This window comes from Homo sapiens, chromosome 16 (genome assembly GCF_000001405.40).
Source record: "Homo sapiens chromosome 16, GRCh38.p14 Primary Assembly".
Lineage (NCBI taxonomy): Eukaryota > Metazoa > Chordata > Mammalia > Primates > Hominidae > Homo > Homo sapiens.
In genome coordinates, this window is record NC_000016.10 from 47,949,312 (window position 1) to 47,975,497 (window position 26,186).

The 26,186-nt window shown below is 42.8% G+C and overlaps 2 long non-coding RNA genes across 2 annotated transcripts; one reads left to right on the top strand and one right to left on the bottom strand.

Moving 5' to 3' along the window:
* Positions 1–3,727: 3,727 nt before the first annotated feature.
* LOC105371237 (uncharacterized) lies at positions 3,728–16,125 on the bottom strand. The gene is made up of 4 exons (XR_933513.2): positions 15,969–16,125; positions 12,523–12,573; positions 9,959–10,114; positions 3,728–3,792 (listed from the first exon to the last, which is right to left on the bottom strand). It is a non-coding gene; the product is annotated as an uncharacterized LOC105371237 (long non-coding RNA).
* Positions 16,126–16,377: 252 nt separating this feature from the next.
* Positions 16,378–22,376, top strand: LINC02134 (long intergenic non-protein coding RNA 2134). The gene is made up of 2 exons (NR_146502.1): positions 16,378–16,699; positions 22,052–22,376. It is a non-coding gene; the product is annotated as a long intergenic non-protein coding RNA 2134 (long non-coding RNA).
* The last annotated feature ends 3,810 nt before the right edge of the window (positions 22,377–26,186 follow it).

The following is a 26,186-nucleotide window of genomic DNA, read 5'->3' on the forward strand; positions in this document are numbered from 1 at the left end:
GCGTGCAGGACAGCCTGGTGGTTGTCTCCCAGTCACTGCACAATTACCTCTTCTCTGAGAACTGCCGCTCCCCGCCCCCAACTTCTTCTGTGCAGTGAGAAGGGCCATGTTCGTGTGGTGCGGCCATGCCCCACAGGCCAGTTGGTTGCCAGTCCATGGTGGCCAATGCCAGCTGGGTTGATTAGTCACTTCCTGTTAGAGACAGACGGAGCTAAGAGATGGAAGAGAGGCCACGTGAACCGGGAACTGGTGGTCCGTCCTGCTACCTTGTAGATAGGAAAGTAGGGCTGGCTGCTCTGTTGGGTGGAAAAAGAATGAAGTAGGCGTGCTGAAGACTCAGAGATGAAGTGCAAACTGGGCCCTGAGCTCCCTACAGCCCTTCACTCGTTGGCTTCTTGCCAGAGCCAACTCCAGAGAGGATCTGTTTGGAGCATAACCTACACAAAGGCAATCTGATTGAGCTTCACTGCTGAACACTCGCCCTTGCCAGCTCACCCCGGCACCTTCCTGCCCTCTCCTGGGTGCTGTTGTAATGCTTGATCACCAGGAGAGACAGCTGGGGCACACGCAGACGCTCCCGCTTCCAGCATGGGCCCTTCCAGATGAGACAGGTCTGCTCCGCTTCTCAAAATGGCAATTAGGGCCGGTTGGTGCAGCCCCATCTGGAGGCCCGGAAATCTCAACGTGCACCTGCCAATGCTGTCAGGAGATGTGAAGGCCTCTGCACCTCTGGGGTGTGAGGAAGGGTAGTCTCTGTAATGAGAGGAGGCAGGCTATTACAGTGCTTATAACTGCATTTCTGTGCATGGAGTGCCATTCTGCAGCTGAGCCCTGGATTGCTTTGTGCTTGCTCTCTGTGGTCCTCATGCTTGGAAAGGCATTTCTAAGAGGGGTACAGGATACCCTCCCCCCCGAGGAACGTGGAGCCCAGTATTAAAGTATTTCTAGAGCATAGGCTCTTTCTTGCCTAAAAGATACTGTGCATGACCCTGCGGGGCTTTCAGTTGGTCCAATTCTTTTTTTTTTTTGTAATCAAATTAATTTTATTTTTAGTTTTTATTTAATTTCATTTTTTTTGCAAACTCTTCTTTTAGGTTCGGGGGTACACATGCAGGTTTGTTACATGGGTAAATTGTGTGTCCTGGGGGGGTTTGGGGTGTAGATTATTTCATCATCCAAGTAATGAGCATAGTACCTGAAAAGTCGTTTTTCGACCCTCACCCTCCTCCACCCTCCACCCTCAAGTCGGTCCCAGTGTCTATTGTTCCCCTCTTTGCTCATTGTTTAGTCCCCACTTACAAGTGAGAACATGCAGTGTTTGGTTTTCTGTTCCTGCATGAATTTGCTTAGTATAATGACCTCTAACTCCATCCATGTTGCTGCAAAGGACATAATTTTGAGAGGTGAAGCCAGCTGGGCTTCCGGGTCAGGTGGGGACTTGGAGAACTTTTCTGTCTAGCTAAAGGATTGTAAACACACCAATCAGTGCTCTGTGTCTAGCTAAAGGTTTGTAAATGCACCAATCAGCACTCTGTAAAAACGCACCAATCAGCGCTCTGTGTCTAGCTAAAGGTTTGTAAATGCACCAATCAGCACTCTGTAAAAACGCACCAATCAATGCTCTGCATCTAGCTAAAGGTTTGTAAACGCACCAATCAGCACTCTGTAAAAACGGACTAATCACTGCTCTGTAAAATGGACCAATCACCAGGATGTGGGTGGGGCCGAATCATGCAATAAAAGCTGGCCACCTGAGCCAAAGCGGCAACCCACTTTGGTCCACTTCCAAGGTGTGGAATGTTTGTACTTTTGCTCTTCACAATGAATCTTTCTGCTGCTCACTCTTTGGGTCTGCACTGCTTTTATGAGCTGTAATACTCACTGCGAAGGTCTGCAGCTTCACTCCTGAAGCCAGCGACACCACCAACCCACAGGGAGGAACAAACAACTCTGGACCCGCCACCTTTAAGAGCTTTAACACTCACTGCAAAGGTCTGCAGCTTCACTCCTGAAGTAAGCGAGACCACGAACCCACCGGAAGGAAGAAACTCTGGACACATCTGAACATTTGAAGGAACAAACTCCAGACATACAATCTTTAACTGTAACACTCACCGCAAGGGTCTGTGGCATCATTCTTGAAGTCAGCGAGACCAAGAACCCACTGGAAGGAACCAATTCTGGACACAATTTTCCTCTTATTTTTAAATTCTTTTTATGCAAACCCTCTATTCTGGTCCAGGTGCTCCCCTTTGGGGCAGAGGATGAACTTGCCAGTTTGTTATGCTCTTCACTAATTTAAATTACCTGTCTAGCCCAGTTGGCACTCAAATTTGCAGTCCTGATTCAATACAGGGTCCCAATCACAAGTTCCACAGCATGCCCTGTTGTTGACGCATCCATGGATGTGTCAGCCTAGGCCTCCTTCTCTCCACCACCATGGAAGTAGATCCTCACAGCCTCTTAGGCATCCCCCTTCCCATAACATAGCTGATGGGACCATAATACCTTCCAGCCTAACTCTGCTACTAACTAGTGTCTCTGTGAGATGCTGCAGATCCACTGTGCAGTTAGGCTGGAAGGTATTATGAACTGCAGGGCTGTGGGGGTGAGTTGGGGATATCCAGGCTGGACTATGTGTGTGTGTGGAACAAATGCAGCTGGTCTGAGAGAAGTTGAGCTTGGAGAGAGCAAGAGGTAAGAGGCCATCCGCCCAGGATCTTGCTAACATTCCAGGTCCTTGGTCCTGTCTGTCTTGACAACCTGCCAAGTTTCCTATGTCTTGCATTGCAGGAGATAAATTTATAAGAAGCCTAATTTTTAATTGAGTTATAATTTATATACAATAATTGCTCCAATCTTGAGTTGCTTCTGGACGCTGGATGATGCCTGATGAACCACTTCCCCACGTGATGACTGTGCCACAGTCCTCCATTTGTTTACTATGCTGCTCCCAAGCCAGTGGTGCTCTCCTTCCTGTTCTTTGCTTTGTTGAGCCCTTCCCATCCACCATGAAGCCCTCACTGACTTCCCCAGCCCAGAAAGGTCTGCCTGCACTTTGAGCACAGGACTTGACTCTACAGGGAGGCAGTGCAGTTAAACAGGCTGAAGTGAGCTTCTCCTCATGCGAGGTCCGGACTGGGTGCTGGAGACACAAAGACAGACACAAAGACAGACACAGTCCGGCCTCCAGGGGTTCGCCACAGAGGAGACAGCCATGTAAAAACCCCAACCACAATGCAGTGAGACAGGTGCTAAATGAGAGCCTTTCCTGCTGTTAGGGGAGGCCAGGGTCCTCAAGGAAAGATGGAAAACAAGGTAACGTTGGAACTTAAGGATGGATGAAACTTTGCCAGGTACAAAGAGACAAAGAGACCCTGCATGTTTGCTTGCTAAAGAAAAATATATTCAGAAGCTTGTTAAAATGGTAAGGAAGACTTTATTTAAGATTGTTGCAATAGAAGTATCGTAATAGGAGAGAGAGATTGAGCTCAGCTCCAAATACAGCAAGGATAAGTGGGGATTTACAGCCAAGCAGTAGGGTGAGGGGGTCAGGGGATAGAAAATTACTGAGGAGGGACATCAAAGGCAAGGAACTTCTTGCTAAACTGACTGTCTTAGCTTGGACTGCCATAACAAATGCCATAGACTGGATGGCTGAAACAACAGACATTGATTTTCTCACAGTTCCAGAGGCTGGAAGTCTGACATCAGGAAGCCAGCAAGGGCAGGTTCTGGTAAGGGCTTCTCTCCTGGCTTGTGGCTGTCTTGCTGTGTCCTCATATGGCCTTTCTTGTCCATATGAAGAGAGAGAGAGTGAGAGAGAGAGAGAGAGAGAGTGAGAGAGAGAGAGAGAGAGAGAGAGAGAGATCTCTTGTCAGTTCTTTTTCTTTTTTAAGGCCGTTAATTACATCACGAGGGCTATATCCTCACGACCTAATCTAACCTTAATTACCTCCCAAAAGGCCCTTCTCCAAATATCATCACACTGGGGGTGAGGGCTGACACATGTAACTTGGGGCAAGAGGACACAAGCATTTGATCTCTAACACTGGCCTGATAGGATTCTTGCTAAAGACAGGCCAAGGATTTAGACACCAAGGGTGAGGGATGAAGAACTTGATCAGATGTCAAGCGTGATCAGTAGGGGGACGACTTAGCAGGACTCTTTGCTAAGAATGGGTGGGGCAGGTACAAGACAAGACCTTGGGGTTGAGGGCTGGTTGAAAAGAGAGCTCAGAGGAGCCTGATCAGTGTTTGTTCAAGGAGAGAATCTTTGTTGTAGTCCAGATTCTTACTATTATGTGCAAAAAGGACTTCTCTCCTTCACTGTCCCTGGCCTGGAGTGAAAGAACTGTCCACTCTCTGATACAGGAGGCATCTCTCTTTTACTCACTCACCTTCTTCTCTCCCTGACTTCGCCCTCTTTCTTTTCCCAACTACTTTAATTTCCGGAGATCTAGAAGTCTCAGCATCTGGAAATCTCACACACACACACATACACACACACACACACACACAAACACACACACACACAAAATGATAATGAGACCATACTGGAAGTCTCTTCAGATGTAAAGAAGGAAGGGGTAAAAACCCCACTTCCCAGTTGGGCGCAGTGGCTCACATCTGTAATCACAGCGCTTTGAAGGTTGAGGTGGGAGGCTTGCTTGAAGCCAGGAGTTCGAGACCAGCTTGTTAAAATGGTAAGGAACATAGTGTGATCCCATTTCTAAAAAAAAAAAAAAAAAAAAAAAAAAAAAAAAACTAGCCAGGTGTGATGGTATATACCTGTAGTCCCAACTACTCAGGAGGTTGAGGTGGGGGGATCGCTTGAGTCCAGGAATTCAAGGCTGAAGTGAGCCGTGATTGTGCCATTGCACTCCAGCCTGGGTGACAGAGTAAGACCTTGTCCCTAAAAAAGCAAAACCAAAACAAATAATGCGAAAATACCTACTTTATGTAAAGTCATGTTATTAGGGAGCTAGGAACCAAAGCGAGCAGGACTGGAGGCAGTCAGTCCTCTCAGACAGACAAAGGCTGGTGAATAAAGAAACCCACATGCAGTAAGAGCAAGGATCAAGGTGCTGGCCCAGCATCAGGATCAAGGTGCGGAGGCAATGCTGGCTGCTCCCATTTTGCAGAAAAGAGGGAGCAGGCTTGACTTATTTATGACACACTGTAAACTCTGCTCCATTCGTGCCACAGTCTTCTCCATGGTCCCTCCGTGCTTTGCATAGAGTTGTGTCTCAGAAAATATTTGTTGTACAAATGAAATTTAATTAGAAGCCACTGCTTAGTTACCTTTATCACAAATGTTAGCATGATTTATCACCAGGTTGCCCAGTAAATTGAGTGACAGGCCAAAGATATATTGTAAGGTGTTAAAAAGAATTCTGAATAGCCTGCCCTTCTTTTCAAATACCTTTTTTTCTATTCTTTTTCTTTGACAAGAGTTTTGAAATCATGAGTGCAAGTAGGTGATATATGAGTGCCCTTGATTTCTTATAGCTATGAAAAATATAAGGAGCTTGGCTTTAAAAAATCCCATCTTTACTGATCATCTACCCTTGGTGGATATGTGAATTGGTATAGCCTTCAAGGAGGAGAATTTGACAATATCTATGAAATTGTAAGCGCACCTTTCCTTCTATCCAGCAGTCCTCATTCGAGGCCGTCTGTTCTGGTTATCTATGACTGTGTAACAAACCACTTCAAAACTTAGTATCTTAAAATAACAATTTATTATTATGGCTCACACTTCTGCATGTAGACCTGGAGATTCTTGCTTAGGGACTCACATGGTCACAGCCAGATGAAGGCTCGGCTGGTCCGGCCATCTAAGGTGGCTCACTTCCAAGTCTGGCAGTGGGTGCTGGCTGGCAGCTGGGCTCAGTGGGGGCTACTGGCTGGGCCACCCTTCCATGGCCTCTTCAGTTTTCATAGCTTGGTGGTTGGGTTCCTAAGTGCGGTATCTCCTCAAAAAGTGTTCCAAAAAGGAAAAACTGGAAGATTCCAGGTCAGCTAAGGGCAATTCCCAGAACCAGTCGATTGTCCCGTCTGCCCTGTTCTGTTGGTCACAGCCATCAGTGGATTCCACCAAGGCCTCTAGGCCCCTACTCCCATTATATGGTCTTTGAAATGTTTTCCCAATTTCCTTCTCCTTGTTTTATTAAGTATCAGAACTCTTTTATATACTGGGTTATTTTAGTTAGGGTTCAACAACTGTAAGCAAGAGAAACTGGTCACAAGCAGTAGAGAATTCACTGGATGGGGAGTGGTTGAGGAATGGAGCCTGGAAAAGGCAGAAGTGCTCAGCACTCTCTTGTGGGTTCTGCTGTGGGAATGAATGAACTCAATGATTTATTTTGTCCTTGTTTCTCTGCTCAGGGGTCAGTATCCCAGGAAAGAGACCCTGGCTGGCTGAGCTTAGGTCAGGAGCCAAACTCCTGTCTGCGGGGAGCAGAGGAAAGATCTGGCAGAAGGAGCTTCTGGGGACTCTGATAGCTTCCCCAGCGGGAGAGCAGGTGCCCAGATTTCCATCCCAGCATGATTTAACCCCGTGGGGGAGGGGCAGTCTCCTGAAAGGGACAATGGACGCTGCATGTCCCCTCCACTGAGTTTTTTTGTTTTTGTTTTTGTTTTTGGTTTTTTTTTGGAGACAGAGTCTCGCTCTGTCACCAAGCTGGAGTGCAGTGGCATGATCTCGGCTCACTACAACCTCCGCCTTCCGGGTTCCAACGATTCTCCTGCCTCAGCCTCCTGAGTAGCTGGGATTACAGGCACGTGCCACCACACCCAGCTAATTTTTGTATTTTTAGTAGAGACAGTGTTTCGCCATGTTGGCCAGGATGGTCTTGAACTCCTGACCCCAGATGATCCACTCACCTTGGCCTCCCAAAGTGCTGGAATTAACAGGCATGAGCCACCACGTCCGGCCTAATTTTTGTATTTTTAGTAGAGATGGGGCTTTACCATGTTGGCCAGGATGGTCTCGATCTCTTGACCTCGTGATCCACCCACCTCAGCCTCCCAAAGTGCTGGGATTTCAGGTGTGAGCCACCATGTCGGGCCTCTTCCACTGAGTTTCTAACACCTCCTCCCTATCTCACACTCTGCATCCACAACCAAGTATGAACCCCAGGTAAGGTCCAAGAAGGATGGACTTCGGGGCCAGACACACCTGGCTGGGTTAGCTATCGGTTGGGTGACTGTGGGCACTCACAATCTCTCCCAGACTCAGTTTCCTTATCTGTAAAATGAAGGTAATAATTCCTAATTTTCAGAGTTCTTGTGAGGATTTGAGATTACCTATATAAAGAGTTTTGTACAGTCTATGGCCCACAGTAGACCTTTAGTAAGTGGCAGCCATTGCATCATTCTTCATGATGGAGAAACAACAGACCTGTCCCTCCCTATCCCTCCCTACCACCACCATAGAACCTCTGTCTTCTTCCTCTCCAATGGGTGTTGAACCTACTAGCTATCCAAAGGTGAGAGGCATGCTTAGGTCCAATCATTGTGTGAATTTGGTGTGAATTACAGATCCCCAGCACATACCAGAGAGGAAACGTGGCTGACAGAGAGGCCCCTGCCCACCCCAGCATGGTGGTAATTGCCTGCACCCAGAGTTTTGGAAGAAAGGGCTCAAGCCTCACATCCATGTGACAATGTGTTTGAGCACAGATGCTCTCATAGCTATTGCTACTTCACAGGATGTCAGGCACACTGTGTGCTATTTTAAGCTGAGATTCCACATGCAGTAACAATCCTCCTCTTTCATTCCGGGGCTTTTCTGTTCTTGAAACAGACCTTTGTTCTTCTTTTTTTTTAAATGTTTTCTGTCTCACTAAGAGTAATAGGATGAGTTCATGACTCCTGCCATCCTCAGAATTGCCTGGCTTTGAGTGTGTATTCAAAATCCTTTAATGGTGCTTTAATGTCAGGGGCAAAACGAAGCCTTTCCCAAGTCTTTATAACATGCTTGAAAGGACAAAGTGGTCTTGTCATAGGCTGCTGTGATGCTCTCAGAGCTTTGCCACAATTCTTGTAACAGATGGACTCTTCATTAGGTGCACATTGCACCCACCTGGGGATTCACTACCTTTGGATGAGAGAGAGATTTGATTTTAGCTGCAGATAATTTCTCTTTCTTATCTTGACCCATAGATCAAAGATTATCAACAAATTCAGATTCCTTTGTCTTTTTTCTTCTGCCGAATTGGAATGCTAGAATAGGTTGGATGAGTGACCAGCTTTTTTTTTTCAAACAGCTTGACTTGAACTCACATAACAAGACCAAGGTTTTGAGTGTTTGGTGGGGGCTGCAATGTGAGGTTTTTGGCATTTATGTCCATGAAATTCACTGATGACAACAGATTATGTTTCTATTGCTTTATTAGCATTACTATCTTGCAAAGCTCAGCTTAGGGCCCAGATGACCCCCATGTTGTAAATCCTGCTTAAAGCACTCCCTGTCCTGTCCTGACTTTCCTCTTACCTCTCTGACCATGATGTCTGTCTTTTTACAGGTTCATCTTTGCCATTAAATATTGAGGAAGCTCTGGCCGGGCACAGTGGCTCATGCCTGTAATCCCAGCACTTTGGGAGGATGAGGCGGGCGTATCACCTGAGGGTGGGAATTCGAGGCCACCCTGACCAACATGGAGAAACCCCGTCTCTACTAAAAATACAGAATTAGCCAGGTGTGGTGGCACATGCCTGTAATCCCAGCTATTAGGGAGGCTGAGGCAGGAGAATCGCTTGAACCCGGGAGACGGAGGTTGCGGTGAGCCAGAGATTGTGCCATTGCACTCTGGCCTGAGTAACAAGAGCGAAACTCCATCTCAAAAAAAAAAAAAAAAAATTAAGGAAGCTCAAGTCTTAGTCCTAGTTCCTATTAGCATTCCTTTAATTACCCCCTAAAGGCAGATGCCTCATAAGCCTCAAGTTAGAAAAGCCTAAGCCTGTCTTTTGAATCCCAAACCCATACACCTAGCTGCCTTCCTGACATTCTTTAAGGATATATCAAAGTTTCCTCAAACTCAGCCTGATAAAAGCTGAACTTAAGAGTTTCCCTCAGAAGCCATCATCTTTCAGGATATTCCCATCTCTGTGAATGGAAGCCTCATCCACCAAGCTGCAAATGACACACTGAGGTATCTCCCCTGACATGTCTTTCTCCCATCCTCTTCCATCCAGTCCATCACAAATCGCGGCAACTGTATCTCTTGAGTGTGTCTCATTGGCCCACTTGTTTGAGCCTTCCCATCAGCACCCTGGCCCACATCACCTTTCTGGCTGAGTCTCCTGGTCTACTTTGTTCATGGCTCCCATCTGTTTCCCATGATGTAAGCTTTCTGAAACTTACATCTTATGATGTTACCCTCTGCCTAAAATCCTTGAGGGTTTTCCAATTGATTTTAAAATAAGAACCCAAATCTTTCACATGTCCACAAGGCCATTCACAGTGTGACCCCTCCTGCCTCTCTGGCTGCACCTCCCATCACTTTCCCTTCGCCTGTGTCTGTTTCTGTGGCCTCATGAAAAGGCTTTTGCTCTGCTCTCTCCACAACTTCCTTTTTTTTTTTTTAGACAGGACCTCACTCTGTCACCCAGGCTAGAGTGCAATGGCTCAATCACAGCTCACCGCAGCCTCCACCTCCTGAGCCCATGCAACCCTCCTACTTCAGCCTCTCAAGTAGCCGGAACCACAGGCGTGTGCCATCGTGCCTGGTTAATTATTCTTACTTTTTGTAGAGACAGAGCCTCCCCATGTTGCCCAAGCTAGTCTCAAGCCCCTAGGCTCAAACAAGCCTCCCACCTCAGCCTCCTGAAGTGTTGAGATTACAGGTGTGAGCTGTGGTGTGCAGCCCACCATTTCCTTTTCTAAGATAGTGTTTACTTTCATTCAGGTCTCTGCTCAATGATCACTTCCTCAAGGCAGGCTTTCTCTTACCTCCTGGACAGGCCACATCCTCTCGTAAATGCTCTCGGCATTATGTATCTCTCGATCACAGTACTTCTCGTGGTAGAATTGTGGGATTCTTTGATTATATGGCTGTATTTCATGACAGTGGGGACTGCATCTCTTTTTTTCCTCACGTTGCAGCACCTAGCACAGTGACCATATACATAGTAGGTGCTCAATAGGTATTTTTAAATGCATAAATAATAGATGAAAGTCTAGAAGTCCAGAAGTCATGCCATTCAAGTATTGAACAAGATAAACCTCCACAAGACCTCGGATTTTGCATAGAAACAAATGAAAAGGGGACAAGTTACTCAGAAAGTCTGATTTGAAGAGGGGCACTGAGGTCTACTGAGGTCTGTGCTCTTTATCATGAATGTCTTTGCAACACCTACTGTGTCAGTCTACTGCCCAATGGGGTTCCTTCAATTGCACAATCTGGGTCTGTGATAGGAAGGAAAGTTCTACCAGGGCATAGAGTTCTGTCTGAGGATTGCTCTGTTAGTTGTTAAATGCTTAGTTCTATACACAGTCCCATTCCTGTGCTCACCGAATTCAAGGAACTTGTAGTCTAGTGGGAGGGCCAAGTTTACCAGGCATGAACAGCATGGATTGCAGCATGAGGCTAGAGAACTAGGTTTATAGTCAGCTCTTCCAGTTTCTATAAAAGATGAGGGACCTCTAATACATTTCTTAACCCCTTTGAGCCTAAGTTTCTTCAGCTGTAAAGTAAGGATGCTAAAACCACAATTATCAAGGTGGTTTTGAGGATTCAATAGATAATACCAGTGGGTGCTGTGCACAGTGAGCAAAGGCTGGTTCTTGTTCCAAGCACTGAGCATGGCTGCATGGGCTCTGAGAAGGCAGAAAGGAGAAAGCAGGGAGGAGATGGAGCCACAGGAGAGCTTGGGTTGGGCCTTGGAATGTGGGAGGGTATGGGATGGGGAAGAGGAGGAATGGAAGGAAGAGGAGAGAGGCAGGTAGGTTTCAGTGAGAAAAAGGCACAAAGGCAGGAAGAGAGCTTGCCTTGAGCCAGAGGAGAAAAACATCAAAGGCCCAGTGAAGAGACCTGCAGAGGCTTAGATTTCATGCCATGTGTGAGCCTTGGGTAGGGTTGTTAGCCTGGGAGGAACTTATTTCTTACAACATATCTCTTTATTAAACATCAAGAGACAAATCAAACTGACCTTGTGGAGCTCAACCTTGGGTTTGTAAAGTGTTTGTATAATGCAAAAAAAATAGTGAATCACTTGGGACCTCTGCTGAATATTTTGGCACTTGATTTTAGAAACAAAGAAGAGAAGGCACACAGGTTTTGGAGTGTAGCTGTTCTGTGAAAGCATAACATTCTCTTTCAACCTCAGTTTTCTCATCTTTAAAGTGGAATTAAAATGCCATCTGACAATGATGAATAGCCTGTATGTGCCAGGCACCAAAGCATGTTAAGTAATTGAGACAAACTGAACACTGTGCTATGTGCTTTACGTGAACTTGCGACTCAGGGCTGCTCGTTGAGATAGGAAGTTATTATCCTCATTTTACTCTTGAGACACAGAGAGGTTAAGTAAATTGCCCAGGCACAATCCAAAGCTCTCAGGCTCTGGCCGGTGAAGCTGGCTTGCCCTAATTACCACCTTATAGGGTCGTACCTAAAACATGAGGGACCATGTATGGAAAACATCTAGCCCACTGCCTGATTTGTAGTAAGCACTCTATAGACCTCAGTTTCCTGTCACAGTTGATAGTATTTAGCTCAGTAATTTATCATATACTGTTCTTTGTTTGTTTCAGGTGTTTCTCTCTTATCTACCAACAATGGTAAATAAATTGCTTAAAGAAAGGAAAGGCATTATAGCTTGATTTCTTTTGTAGCTTTCCCAGTGCACCTAGAAGTTCTCAATAGAAATGTCTTAAAATGAACTGAATAAATGCTTACTGATTGAATAAATGAAGGATTCTGTAAAAAAAGCAAATGTAGAATATGACTGATTGGCTTTTATAGCTTCTTATTTATTTTACCCCACTGAATTCTAAAACAGGATTTGAGGAGGATTATACAAATATGTAAGATTCAACAGGATAAAAGCAAACAAGTGAGAAAATTGGAGTGAAGGGAAAATAAAACCAGGGGTGTTTATTTCTTTGTCATTTCTTGATAGAAATTTGTCGGCAAATCTCCAAGATGAAAGCACAAAATTTGCCAAGAACTAAAACTTACTCCTGTAGGGTATTCCTTAAACTCTTTGATGGGACACAGCTCAAATCTCAAAGGGAGAGGGAGTCATGAGCAGAAAATGGAGGGAATTGGGGATTGTCTCTGGTCTGGCTGCTGAGAAAATACCATGTTTTCCTTGGGGCCAATGCACCCAGAGCTTTGCACCCAGACCAATGCACCAAGACCTTTTTTGAGAAAAAAGTAGTTTTCTCAAATGTAGAGAGAACCGTGTTCTACAGGCTCATATTACCACATCAGACCTCCCTCATTTTTATGTCTACTTGATCTTTAAGATCTATCAACACATGTCTGGGAGGCTTGGAAGAGCCTTACTTACCCTTCTTCTCTTCTGGACTTGGTATCAATTAAGAATAGGAACAAGAGAGTCCTGCAGAAGCCAAGGATGGTGGAACAGGGTTAAAAGGTTGTGTGTAAGGCTGTCTGCCCCTCCCATCTGACTTGGCCTCTCTGTATAGCGATCTCTCTCTATATCAATGGTTCTCAGTTTTGGCTGTGCATTAGAATCACCTGGTAGCTTTTTAAAATTACCAATGCCTGGGCCTGGCATGGTGGCTCACACTTGTAATCCCAGTACTTTGGGAGGCTAAGGTGGTGGATCACTTGAGCCCAGGGGTTTGAGACCAGCCTGGGCACCATGGTGAAACCCTGTCTCTGCAAAAAAATATGAAAATTAGCAGATATAGTGGAACATATCTACAGTCCCAGCTACTCAGGAGGCTGAGGTGGGAGGATCCCTTGTGCTCAGGAGGTCGAGGCCACAGTGAGCTGAGATTGCATCACTGCACTGCAGCCTGGGTGACAGAGCAAGACCCCCATCTCAAGAAAAATAAAATAAAATAAAAATAAAATAAAATAAAATAAAATAAAATAAAATAAAAACAAAAACCAATTCCTGAGCCCTATGCATGATGAGTCTGATTTAATTGATCTGAGTGGGGCCAGGCATTATTATTTTTTAAGCTCCTAAAATGATTCCAAAGTGCAGCCCAGGCTAAACAGAATTCCCTGGAGGGCATGTTAAAATACAGATTGCTGGATCCCACCCCAGAGTCTCTGATCCAGAGGTTTGGGTAGGGCCTGAGAATCTGCATTTCTAACAACTTTGAAGGTGACACTGTTGCTGCTGGTCCTGGGGCTCCATGTTGAGAGCCATTGCTCTAAACCAACAAGTGAGCCAGGGAATGTAAATGCTTGCAAACATGCCATTATAATATATATGTTTCTTTATTATTATGGAGGTTTTTTGTGTGTGTCTTGATTTTTATTTACTGAACAAGTAATACTAGAACAAGAAAAATGAGACTGGAACACACATAAGCCCACAACCTTTACAGACGTACCATTGCACTGTGTAATCGCAGTAGTAATAGTAGCTAGCATTTATTGTACGTTTACTGTGTGTCAGGCACAAGCTGAAAACTTTAGGGGCATTCTTTCCTTTAATTCTCATGATAACTCTATAAGGTAATTAATTTACTATCCCATTTTACAGATGGAGAATTTGCAACACAAAGATTAAATGGCTGTTTTACACACTTGTAACCAGAGCATAAAGTCCACTTTGCATTCAGCTTCTTTCACTTAGTACAATGGCATATTTTCCATGTTGAATAGACCATTCCATTGTATTCACGTATCAGTTTTCTTCTCATTAGATATTTAGATCATTTCCATTTTCACAATCATATTTAACAGAGCAATGATCAATTTCATTTAGTGCTTGTCTTGAATTATTTTTCTTAGAATAGAGTCTCAAAAGTGATCTTCCTCAGTCAAAAGGTGAAATTGCCTAGCTTTGATTTATAACATACTAGAACAAAAAGGTTTTTTTTTAAAAAAAAAACCCACATTTCATCCACTTTTTTCAAAACCAAATCATTCTCTGGACAGGTTTATATAGTCACACATTTAAAGTAAGTTACTGTAATTTAAAAATTATGGAGGTATTTTTATATAATTTAGTTCCATTGCAAAACTCACTCCAGTGGAAATTACCTTCCAGGCAGCCAACTTCTTCAAGAAAACTTCCCTGGTTTATGAAGACAAAGAAGTTTCTGCCATCTTCTATGGAAGTCACCCCCAACAACAAGAGCATGAGAACCAGAACCACAAGTCCATTTTGGACAACACCAGAAGATATCTGTAACTCAGAACCCGCTTGTACAAGAGGGCAGTGGCAGGAAAGGTCAAACCAACTGCCCAATTAAAGGCTCAGGAACCCACGGCCCCAGCAATGGCTGAGGGTGAGCCAGAAATGCAGGCTGCAAGCAAGGGAGGGATGTGGGTCTGGGTAAGGGCCAGAGTCTTCCGATCTAATTGTCAAGAAGCTGGAGGGAATTATTCAGAGAAACTGAACAGAGAGCCTCCGGATATGCGGACGCCAAGTGCAGAGGAGGGCCATGTACCAAACCAGACCCAGAGGACTGGGTGCAGGTCTGTATCTTGAATGGGGAAGCCTCTAGCCCCAGCCTGTGTAAAATCATGTTACTGAGTTTCCCTAATTAGTTCAGCAGTGAGCCAATATTTCCATGTCCTTAATGATGAAAACATCATAATCCATAAATAGGATTTATTCAAAAGTTGCGATACACAGTCATGTGTCACATAATGACATCTTGCTCAACAATGGGCCACATGCATACATGACAGTGGTCCCGTAAGGTTATATTGGAGCTGAAAAATTCCTATAGCCTAGTGACGTCTTGATGATTCTGACCCTGTGAAGGCCTAGGCTAGCATGTGTGTCTGTGTCTTAGTTTTTAACAAAAAGTTAAAAAATATTTAAATAGGAAAAACGTTATAGAATAAGGATATAAAGAAAAAAATTTTTTGTACAGCTGTATGATGTGTTTATGTCTTGAGCTAAGTGTTATTGCAAGACTCAAAAAGTTTTAAATGGTTTAAACGTTTATAAAGTATAAAAGTTATAGTCAAGTCAAGGTTAATTTGTTGTTGAAGAAAGAGAAATAGTTTTTATAAATTTAGTGTAGCCCAAGTGTACAGTGTTTATGAAGTCTACAGTATTGTACAGTAATGTTCTAGACCTTCCCATTCACTCACTACTAGCTCCCGGACTCATCCAGAGCAACTTCCAGTCCTGTAAGCTCCATTCATACTACATACTCTACCAAGCTGTACCATTTTTAATCTTTTATACAATATTTTTACTGTAGCTTTTCTATGGTTAGTTATGTTTAGATACACAAACACCATTGTGTTACAATTGCCTATACACAGTATTCAGTATAGTCACATACTATACATGTTTGTAGCCTCAGAGCCATAGGCCACACCATACAGCCTAGGTGTGTGGTAGGTTCTACTATTTGGGTTTATGTAAGTGCCCTCTGTGATGTTTGCACAGGGACAAAATCACCTAACAACTCATTTCTCAGAAAGTATCCCTGTCATTTAGTGGTGCATGACTAAATGGTGCATAATCATATTAGGAGGTTGAGTTTAAGAGAGGCAAGTTGTGAAGAGCTTTATCTACCCACTTTAATAGGAAATTTTAGGCAATGTGGAGATATTTGAAAATATGGAGGTAAATAGAAGATATAAAATGAAAGTTCCTGAAAGTGGTTGCCTCTAGGAACCAGGGAGAGGGAGGGGTGTTATATGTGTGGGGATTGATGTTTCTTGTTATAAGCTTTTAAGCACTAATTGACTTTTTAATGATGCAAGTGTGTTTCTTTGATAAAATTAAAATTGAGGGAAAAGAGAAAATTGCGTAAGCACTTCTCTACTACTTAATTTATGTACCTTATGAATTGGATTTCCATAAATGGGTTTTGTCCAAGCAGGCTACTCGTGGAGATTGCAGATCATAAATAAGAATTGCTGATATTAAGGAGGTAATTAATTGGCCAGTAGCCAAGGAGAGACCCTTCATTCCTAATAAAGGAGTCCAGGCTCCAGCTTGAAGAGTCAGGATCTCTATTGTGGGCTTCGTTCTTGCCAGGATTTGAAGAGAAACCCTTTACTAATCCACACTTTGCAACACAATCCACCTGATGAGTCACTGATACTGTTGGTGAGAGCCTAAATAATCATCATTCCAACTAGAAGAATGCTCGTGCTTGCTCTCTGTTGCCATAGAAACAGTGCAGCTCCAGTCTCCCTGTTGCTTTGGTAACCCACCCCCCTTTCCTCACATCACTACTGCTGGGGTATTTTGCTGCCAAGATAATGGTCTCTATTATGGATTGAATGTTAATGGGCAGTCCTTTACCCCAGACTACACCCAGCCCCTTCTGCAGCTCCACATTTGAAGGCCTTGTCTAAGTGGCATCTCAATGAGATGGTAATAGATACTTGAATCAGATGGAGAGGAGCTGTAGTGATGGGGGTGGGAGGGGATAGAAGAAGCGTTCAGCTTCTAATCTTGAAAAGGGAGGACTCGGAACTTGGAGAGGCAAAAATGAGGAAATCATCCATTAGAGTGCCTCAGCTGTGTATGAAGTCCTAAAGCCATTTCTTCCAGTCAATAAAAGGTAATGCTAAGTAAGGTTTATTGAGGAATGAATATATGCTGGATACTGGGTTAAGTACTTTTTGCCTATTTAATCCTATTTTACAGAAGAAATGGATAAGGAATCTGTTCAATGTCACAGAGGTTCAGAATTCAAACTCAAATCATAGTCACTGCACTAAGCTACTGCTCACTTGAGAATGGAACAAGCAAGGGTGGCATCAGAGAGTGCCCTTACACTAAAAGAGCTTACTTTTCAACTGGAAAAAGACATTTAACACAAAAGGGGAAAAATTAGAAGATGACATCTTATAGACCGTGTGAAGTGCAAAGTTCTGGTGCCATGTTCACAAAGAGGCGAAAGTGGGCGAGACATTACAACGGCCTTTCCATAGGAAAAAAAGAAAGAGGGCTCCTGCAGACACTGAGAGGAATCTAGGAGACAGGAGTTGCCTGATTTAGTCTCAAACCTGATACAGCAAGAATCAGGGGCAAGTTCAGGCATCAGCCCCAGAGCAGGTGTTTAACCTGAGTCACCCTGGACTGATGATGGGTTTTCAGTTGTCAGCAAAGTAGAAATTTGGCTCCTCTCCTCTTCGTTTGAAATTCAAATTTTCTTGATACTGCCTCTTTTACTTTGAAATTCAAAAAAAAGTTGAAGTTTCATATGAAATTGTTTTAAATTTTATGGCTCTCAATTTCACAATCCAATAACCCTGTTTAGTTTACAAGATTTTTTTTAGCCACCTAAAGTCCTCATGGCATTAAGTGGAGTATAAATCTTCAGAAATAGAATTTCTATGGTGTCCTGATTTTTTAAAATCAGAATTACGATGCTTCGACTTGTCCTTCTGTATCTTCTAATTCTTCCCCCATTCTCCTCCTTTAACACTCCAGGGCATGGAAGTCATCCAACAGCTGCTGGAGGGACTGTGCAGAGTTACGACGGAGACAGTGACTCCTCCAAAGGGGTCTCGAGGGTAAAGCATCTTGATGTCTTTATCTGCAGGGTCTTTTCAAGCCCAAAGCAGTGGTTCTCAATCCTGAGCTCGTTCTAGTCATCTCCGAGAATAAACATGTGCAATTGTCAATGCCAAATCAATATATATTGGTTTAAAATGTTTATAATACAGATGTATGTTGTCAGGAAATCTTGGAGGGAGGTGAATGCCACAGAACACCTGACAGTAATATCAATTGTTGGCTAAATGATAGCTTGCACGTGAGACTGTCTAGATTCAAATCCAGCCCAACTTCTCTCTGTCTCTGTTTCTTCTCTTTCCCAGTAGCTGTGTAACCTGGGGTAAGTCATTTCATTCTCTTAAGTCTCAGCTTCCTCTTCTGCAAAATGGAAGAAAAGGAAAGTCATATTTTTGTGCAGATTAAATGAGACAATGCATGAAATAGATTATAGTGGTACCTGGAATGTAATGCTTAATAGATATTAACGTTTTTATTCTTAGAAAAACAAATCCACTAGATGTTTAAGGTCCTCAAAAAGATTCATCTCTCCTAGCGACTGGCCTTCTGTGCATTTTTTCCTGTTTCAGTTTGTGAACTTTGGAATACAGGATTTCCTAACACTTCCTGCTACTGCTCTCTTAAGCTCCTACCTGGATTTGGTCATTGAGGCCCTGATGTTTCCAGTTTTTTACCTTGCTTCATCCTTGCATCTACCTACTCAGCATCCTACATCTTGATTTCTATGGCTCTGCTTCTAGACCTAGGATAAACCCTGATCTTAGTTACTCCCTTGCTCAGGAATAGATTTCTTATATTCTTGATGGTGGACTTGGGTGAGATGGTGGATCCAGGATTATAATTAAAAAGAGTAGGGAAGGAACCTAGGGCCTTTGTAAAAAGAAATCAGATGTCTTAGCATCTGGCGAATTGGAAACTGCTGCCCCAGAATGCAGAGGATGATTTGCTCATGAACTATACTGTGTCTGGTGTAGGGGTTATATTTTAGAAAGTTCTAGCAGGAGGGTAAGTTTGTTTTGAATAGTTTTGTTGAATAACAATCCCCTCATGTATAAGAAAGCCTTTTTCTGTAACAGAGCATGCAGCCTGGAGCAATTAGGAAAAGGAGAACCCACCTAGTCACTAGAGTAACTGAATCAATTTTGGAGATTCCCTGGGGTGATAGGTGGCAGTACCTCAACATGCCCACTATGTTTGCAACACTATGGGTTGCAAAAAGAAAGAGAAAAAGCTTAAATATCACCCTCAATGAACAAATGAAATTGTTGAGGCTGGGCATATAGAATTAGAAAATTTTATAGAGAATAGGTATGCTAAATATATATATATACATATATATGTATATATGTGTGTATTTCTGTATGTGTGTGTGCATGTGTAACAAACTATACAGACAACAGAGTTTGAAAGATAATTGCCAAAATATGATAGAGCTGAAGCAGAGTGGTTTGGGAGGTGAGGTGAGGTAGTACTAAAGGTAATCATTTATGTTTGGTGCTTGAAAGGCATCAAAATATCCTGGAAAGAGTACACCAACTTGGAGCGTTCCAGCTGCAGCTCAATCCTCACCTTGCTGTGTGAACTTGGAGTAGACACTTTCCCTCCTGCATGATGAATGAATGTCGTATAGTTGGAGAAAAACAGATAATGAATGTGAAGGTGATTTGTAAACATGCAGTTGCTATAGAGTTGGCAGTTCAATAACCATTATGAGCCTATGTCTTGAGTTTCAATATATCTAGCCACTCTTTCTACTTGAAAATTCATGATCTTATTAAATAAAAATGTACTGATCCCATTATTTTACATGGAATGGTGCCACTATAATGGTGGGCTATGGGCCTGATCTCAGACCTTCTGGAGTCTGTAAAATGGAAGCTTCCATCTAGGAAACTGAAACAGCCTCCTAACTAGTCTCACTGATTCCACTCATGCATTCTCCACATAGTAGGCAGAATGAGTAATTTTTTCTTAAATATAATAATTGATACATAGAACTGTTGTATATTTCTTGTTTTTTTAAATTTCTGGCATCTATACCCAGTGTGATCTTTTAGAAATAACCAGATCATATTGGTCTTCAAGTGAAATACTTCAGTTGCCTCCTAATGAATTTATATAATAAATGCTCCAAAACCCATCATCCAACTTAAGGACTAGAACATGCACCTAGTAACTACCTTAAGTATCTCTGTGTCCCCTACCCCACCCTCTTTTCTTTTCCCAGAGGTAATCACTATCCTGAATGTCATCTTTATAGTTCCCTTTTACAAATACTCTTTCATCCCATCTATCGGATGAAATACATTATTATCTCAAATAATGTATTGCTTAGTTTTCTTGGTTTTGAGCTGTATAAAGATGGTATCTCACAGTACGTAGACTTGTGGGGTTGCTTTTCAAATTCATCATCTTTCTGAGATGCTCCATGTTGTGTGGTTTTGTCCTTTCATTTCTACCATGTATATCCAGTGTGATGTTTAAAAAATAATCAGATCATATTGCCCTCCAACTGAAATACTTTGGTGGCCTTCTGTTGCATGTGGGGTAAATTCCAAACTCTTTACCTCCACTTACAATGCTCTCCATGATTTATTCAGGTACTTACAGCCCTCAAGCAGCCTCCTTTATTCGAGGGATCTGGTTCTCTGTGCCAGACTTGGCCTGTGAATTTCAGAGCATGCTCCCTCCCACCCTCTTCCTCTGCCTCTCTCCTGTTCCTACCTGGCCTTGGTAATTCAGAGGCTTCTGCCTGCCACTCCAGGCTCTGCACTCCTTACTCCTTACACTGGCTTTCTGTTCCGACCACACTGCCCTCACTTTCTTGTTCCTCTTATATTCCCACCTCAGAGCTTTGCACAAAATGTACCTTCCACCTGGAATGCTGCTATCCCTTTGTCTTAGTCCTTTTACTGCCCCTCTACTAGGAGATCCTGCCTTCTTATCTATGTCCTCTCTCTTGACTAAGTCAAGTAGTCTGTTCAAATCTCTCATTCTCCCCTATTCATTCTCTTTAGTGTATTCAATAAAGTGTGGAACTTAATTATATTTTCTTATTTGAATGATTATTTAGTTACTGTTTGTTTTCCTTTTGGAAATCTGATGAGGTCAAACACTACCCAAGTCATTCACCACTGAACCCCTAGAACTTAGAATAGTAGTTGGCAAAAAGTAGATACTCAGAAAACATTTGTTGACTAAATACATGCTCAAATGCATAAATTAAATAATGAATAAATCTGTTAATAGAAATCCGTCTAGAACTAGCATTTGTTTTAATGAGATCCAGTGCTATCGGCAGCCAAGTGTCTCAGCCTCTTCCTATCCCAAAGGGCTCAGATGTTCCCATGTCCCCACTTCTGAATTTCAGAGAGCTGCATTTGTGTCTGTTGCATGAGTCCTGTCCCCACAAAAGGCCATAATTATGTCATGTAGCTTAAGTTGTGCTGGAGGACGCCCTTATACCAGCCCTTAGCTCCTGGAGCTCAGTGGCCTCTCTCATCTTCCCATGTGTATACCTTGAGTCGGTTTCCTCTCTCCAAGGTGCTGAATCTTCCTTTCTATTTGTGCTTCCTCTCTTTGGAAAAAGGGTGTGTGGGTATGCTGAAGGTTAATTTGGCAGAGTCTCTTACTGGAGGCTGAGATGACATTTCAGCTTTGACCTGTCAAGTCCTTGTGACTTTCCAGAAATTGATTTGGGTAATGACTTGTCATTATGAGTAATTAGCATTTGTGGAAGTCTGAGAAAACCTGCTTTTTTTTCTTTAGAAACTTTGCTACCCTTTTGACACTTCTACTGAGGTTTCACATTTGGTAAGGGGTCAGGTAAAATCATAGAAATGAAAGGTTATCCCTGAAAGAAGTGGAAGTGTTTCTATTTCTAGATCTATCTAGGTATAATTTCCAGACTAAATCAGATTGCCATTACACAGTTCAAGTTAAAGTTAGCATTTGTAAGTTAATATTTGAAGCAAATAAGAGAGATACAGTTTTCATTCCTTACTCAATATGCTTGACCATGCACCAAAGGGACCATGACTAATTACTGCTCCTAGGTATTCTTGCTGACTTATGAGATGTTGAAACTGGAATAAACCTTGTTCAGTCCTCTCATTTTACAGATGAAGAAACTGAGGCCTCTCAAAAGATAATGTGACTTTGTTTTTCAATATTTAATTTATAGTTTGGAGATTGAGCCAGGTGACCTTTAAAGTTTTTTCAAAATATGTGAAGTACAGAGCAATGTGTTATAAACAGTTCAGCACTTGTAGAGATTTTCTGGGTTCACAATAGTATTTTCCTTATTTAATTCTATTACAGCAAATTCTGGCATATTCACAAATGGGCTGTCTCCATTTAAACATAGTAACTACCTTATCTGTTTTATTATCAGGGATGCATTGTGCTGGAGTCTCAATCAAGTGCCTGGAAGCTGAACGTGAAAAACAGTGCTGCCTGGATTACAGAGATACTGGCCATAAATGCATTCGTGGGCTCTCAAGAAGCATTAGGGATGCCATGAAGGAGGGGCATTTTTACTTTGTGTCCTACCAAATTCACTTAATTATACATAGCAATGAGGAAAGTGTGGGAAACAGCAAATCTGACCTTAGTGTGCCTTTGACTAATCCAAGCTTATTGTTTGTGAGTTAATATTGTGAAATGATCCCCTGTGCATATAATGCAGTCATCTTCAAATAAAAATCTGTGGCTTCAGACCTCTCTTCCTTCTTTGCTTCTTTTCTTCTCCCTTTCTTCCTTTCTTTTCTTCTTGCTCCTTCTTTCCCTTCTTCCACTCTCTCCCTCCCTTCCTTCTTGCTTTTCTCCCTCATCTCTCTCTGTCTTTTAAATCTTTCCATTTTTATTTCTGCATATGATGCTGGGCTTCCTTCCCTGTGGCTCCCAAACTAGAAGAGCATTTATGAACCCCTGATATAATGTAGGGCTTCCCAAAGTGGAGTGATTGCAAGATGATCCATTGCTGTCAAGAATTAGATATTCTAGTTATATTTATTGTATCTACAATATGAAAAATAAGATTTTACAAATATATAATTATATTTTTACTAATGCCACAAGTGCTATAAGATAGTGGCATGAGATCACAGATGTTTGGGTTTGGATTTCTTAGATTTGATCAGAGCAATAAGAACTTCATAGAAAGTAAAAAAAAAAAAAATGTGTAGTTCTATCCCTAGATCTGAACAACTTGCTCTGTGATCTTCACCAAAACACTCAATTTTATTATTGTAGGTTTCATGCTAGATGGAAATGGGAATAAATCAAGAGTTTAACTCTCTTCTTGCAATATGCCTTTGTACTTTTCTCCAGCTGCCAAGTCAACTATGGCTTTATGAAGCCTTCCTTCTTAGCATGTTGCAAAAGCAGGTATTCATGCCAGGCACCACGTAGTGGGGCAGAGCTAGGACCAGCTTTTTCCATGTGAATACAGTAGATGACAATGATGACGACGACGATGATGATGGTGATGATGACAATGATGTGTGTGTGTGTGACTAATGTGGAGTTGTGCACATCTTTATACATCTGATAAATGTTTACCTCATGTCTCTGGTATGGCACTATGTGCCAGAGACATGAGCTACAAAGATGAATAGGAATGGGTTCCACTGTCTGGTGGTAGACACAGACAGACAGCTGCAATCGAGTGTGATAAGTTCCTCAACAGAAGTATCATGGGTGTGGCCATCACAGTGGGATTCCTAGAGGGGGTGCACAATACAATCTCCCCCAGTACACCAATGCTTTTCAAAAAATGTTGTACGTGGACCCTGGGAAACTTGCTGAATGTGCAGATTCCTGCCCCCCACCCCAGAACTATAGAGTATAGAATATCTGAGGAGGGAGACTGGGAATATGCATTTTTGGCAAGCTCCTGGATAATGAACAAATGGTCTAATGGAATATCTTTTAAAGTACCTGAAAAATCTACCATTTGAGCTGCATTTTTAGATCTTAGAGCCTTTTTTGGGTTGAAAAATCCCAATTTAAAGTGCAAATACAGGCCCCTGGAGGGAGACAGCCTGTGTCTTATTCTTTCTGAATGTGCCTCCCCACACTTGCCACCATGCCCAGCATCCTCTAGGTATTCAGTGATCAACGAGTGCATAGAAAGAGTGTGCCAAGTAGTATTTTGGGGAGTAGGAGAAGAGGGAGCAGGACAGACAGCTGTGTTTAAGCAATTGGGAGCAAGTTGAGGATCCTGGGTGACAAAATAGGGCAATTTGAATGGAGAGAAGGGCCCGAAAAGAAAAATGTGAGAGAGGTGAGGAAAAACATAGCCTGTTTCAGGATGTCCAACAGCCTTCATCAGGTGAGGCTAGAGACAATGAAGGATGGAACTTATCTTTAACTTTATATTCTATCACTTCCACCATTTTTATTAAGGTATAACATGATTTTAAAATAAGCGCATATTTTAAACTTAAGGATGAGTCTTATCAGGTTTGATATTCTGACTCCATAACCCAATAGCTGCATAACTTGGGTAAATCTTTAACTTCTCTAAAGTTTAGGTGGATGGTCTAATAAGTAGGGGTACTGATACCTGCCTGCCTCAGAGAATTATAATGATCAAATATCAGCTCCAGAAGAGCACGATTGTTGTCTGATGTTCACAGATGTGTTCCCAGCTCTTGGGACCCTGCCAGCACACTGCAGGTCCTCAAATAATGACAGATGAATGACTTCCAGTGACTTGTCTGATGAGGAAGCAGAATGTAGGAAGGCAAGTGTGCACTTCAGACACAAGCAGAGCTGGGTTTAGATCACAAGCCCTACCTCGGATTGCTGTGTGACCTCGGGCAAGTGACTGAGAATTCGTGACCCTTATTTCTGCGTAACATGGGAATGATCATATCTACCTTATAAGGTTGCTTGAGGACCCAAAGACAATACATGTAAAGTTCCTGGTACAGTGCGAGGCACTGAGATGATAGTCAAGAGCCGCTGTATTATTGGCTAGAAGCCTAAAAACCAAAGGTATAAGGAATGTAGAGGCCGAGCGCAGTGGCTCATGCCTGTAATCCCAGCACTTCGGGAGGCTGAGGTGGGCAGATCACGAGATCAGGAGATCGAGACCATCCTGGCTGACACAGTGAAACCCCGTCTCTGCTAAAAATACAAAATAAAATTAGCCGGGCGTGGTGGCACATGCCTGTAGTTCCAGCTACTTGGGAAGCTGAGGCAGGAGAATCGCTTGAACCCGGGAGGCAGAGGTTACAGTGAGCCAAGATCATGCCATTGCACTCCAGCCTGGGTGCCAGAGCAAAACTGCATCTCAAAAAAAAAAAAAAAAAAGAAGGAAAGAAATGTAGAAGACAGAGAACTACACTCAGGAGTCATGAACGGTTTTAATAACTTGATGAAAATATGACACATTTTCCAGAAAAAAATGTGCACATATGAATATATAAAATATTGCACATCATTTTAGAGTTTATCTTGAAGCTATCCATGGACCCCTAGTCATGGACTTGTTTTGAGTCATGGTTTCATTTTTTTATATAAATACAGTACATGCTCATGGTAAAAATGCAAACAAGGCAGAAAAACACAAATTTTGAAACAACGAGTTAAACTTCCACTGTCTAGTATTAACAGTTTGTAAACATGTTTCCAGACATCTGGAATGAATGTATACATGGAGCAAAAGACAGAAATACTCTTTTAAGAATTGAATTAGGACAGGCGCGGGTGGCTCACACCTGTAATCCCAGCACTTTGGGAGGCCGAGGCAGGAGGATTGCTTGAGTCCAGGAGTTTGAGACCAGCCTGGACAACATAGCAAGGCCCCATCTCTACAAAAAATATAAAAATAGTAGCCAGGTGTGGTGGTGCATGACTGTAGTCCCATCTACTTGGGAGCCTGAGGTGTGAGGATTGCCTGAGCCAGAGCGGTCAAGGCTGCAGTGAGCTGTGATTGTGCCACTGCACTCCGGTCTGGGTGACAGAATGAGAACCTGTCTCAAAAAAACAAAACAAACAAACAAACAAACAAAAGATTTGCCCTATATATACTTTAAAAAAAATAAAAATATTTAAATTTAACTGTATGAATTCAACAGATGGGAAAGAGCTGATGAGAAACTGAAGAAATTTCCTATCAAACACTTCTTATTACAAGTATTATTAGATTCTGGCCCGGCGCTGTGGCTCACGCCTGTAATCCCAGCACTTTGTGAGGCAAAGGCAGGCGGATCACCTGAGGTCAGGAGTTCAAGCCCAGCCTGGCCAACATGGTAAAACCCCATCTCTACTAAAAATGCAAAAATTAGCTGGGTGTGGTGGCACAGCCTGTAGTCCCAGATACTTGGGAGGCTGAGTCAGGAGAATTGCTCAAACCTGGGAGATGGAGGGTGCAAGTGAGCCAAGATCGCACCACTGCACTCTAGCCTGGGTGACAGAGTGAGACTCCATCTCAGAAAAAAAAAAAAAAAAAAACACGAGTATTATTAAATCCCGAAAGGATTTCTCTATGGTCAAGAAAATATATTGGGAAAGCTTTT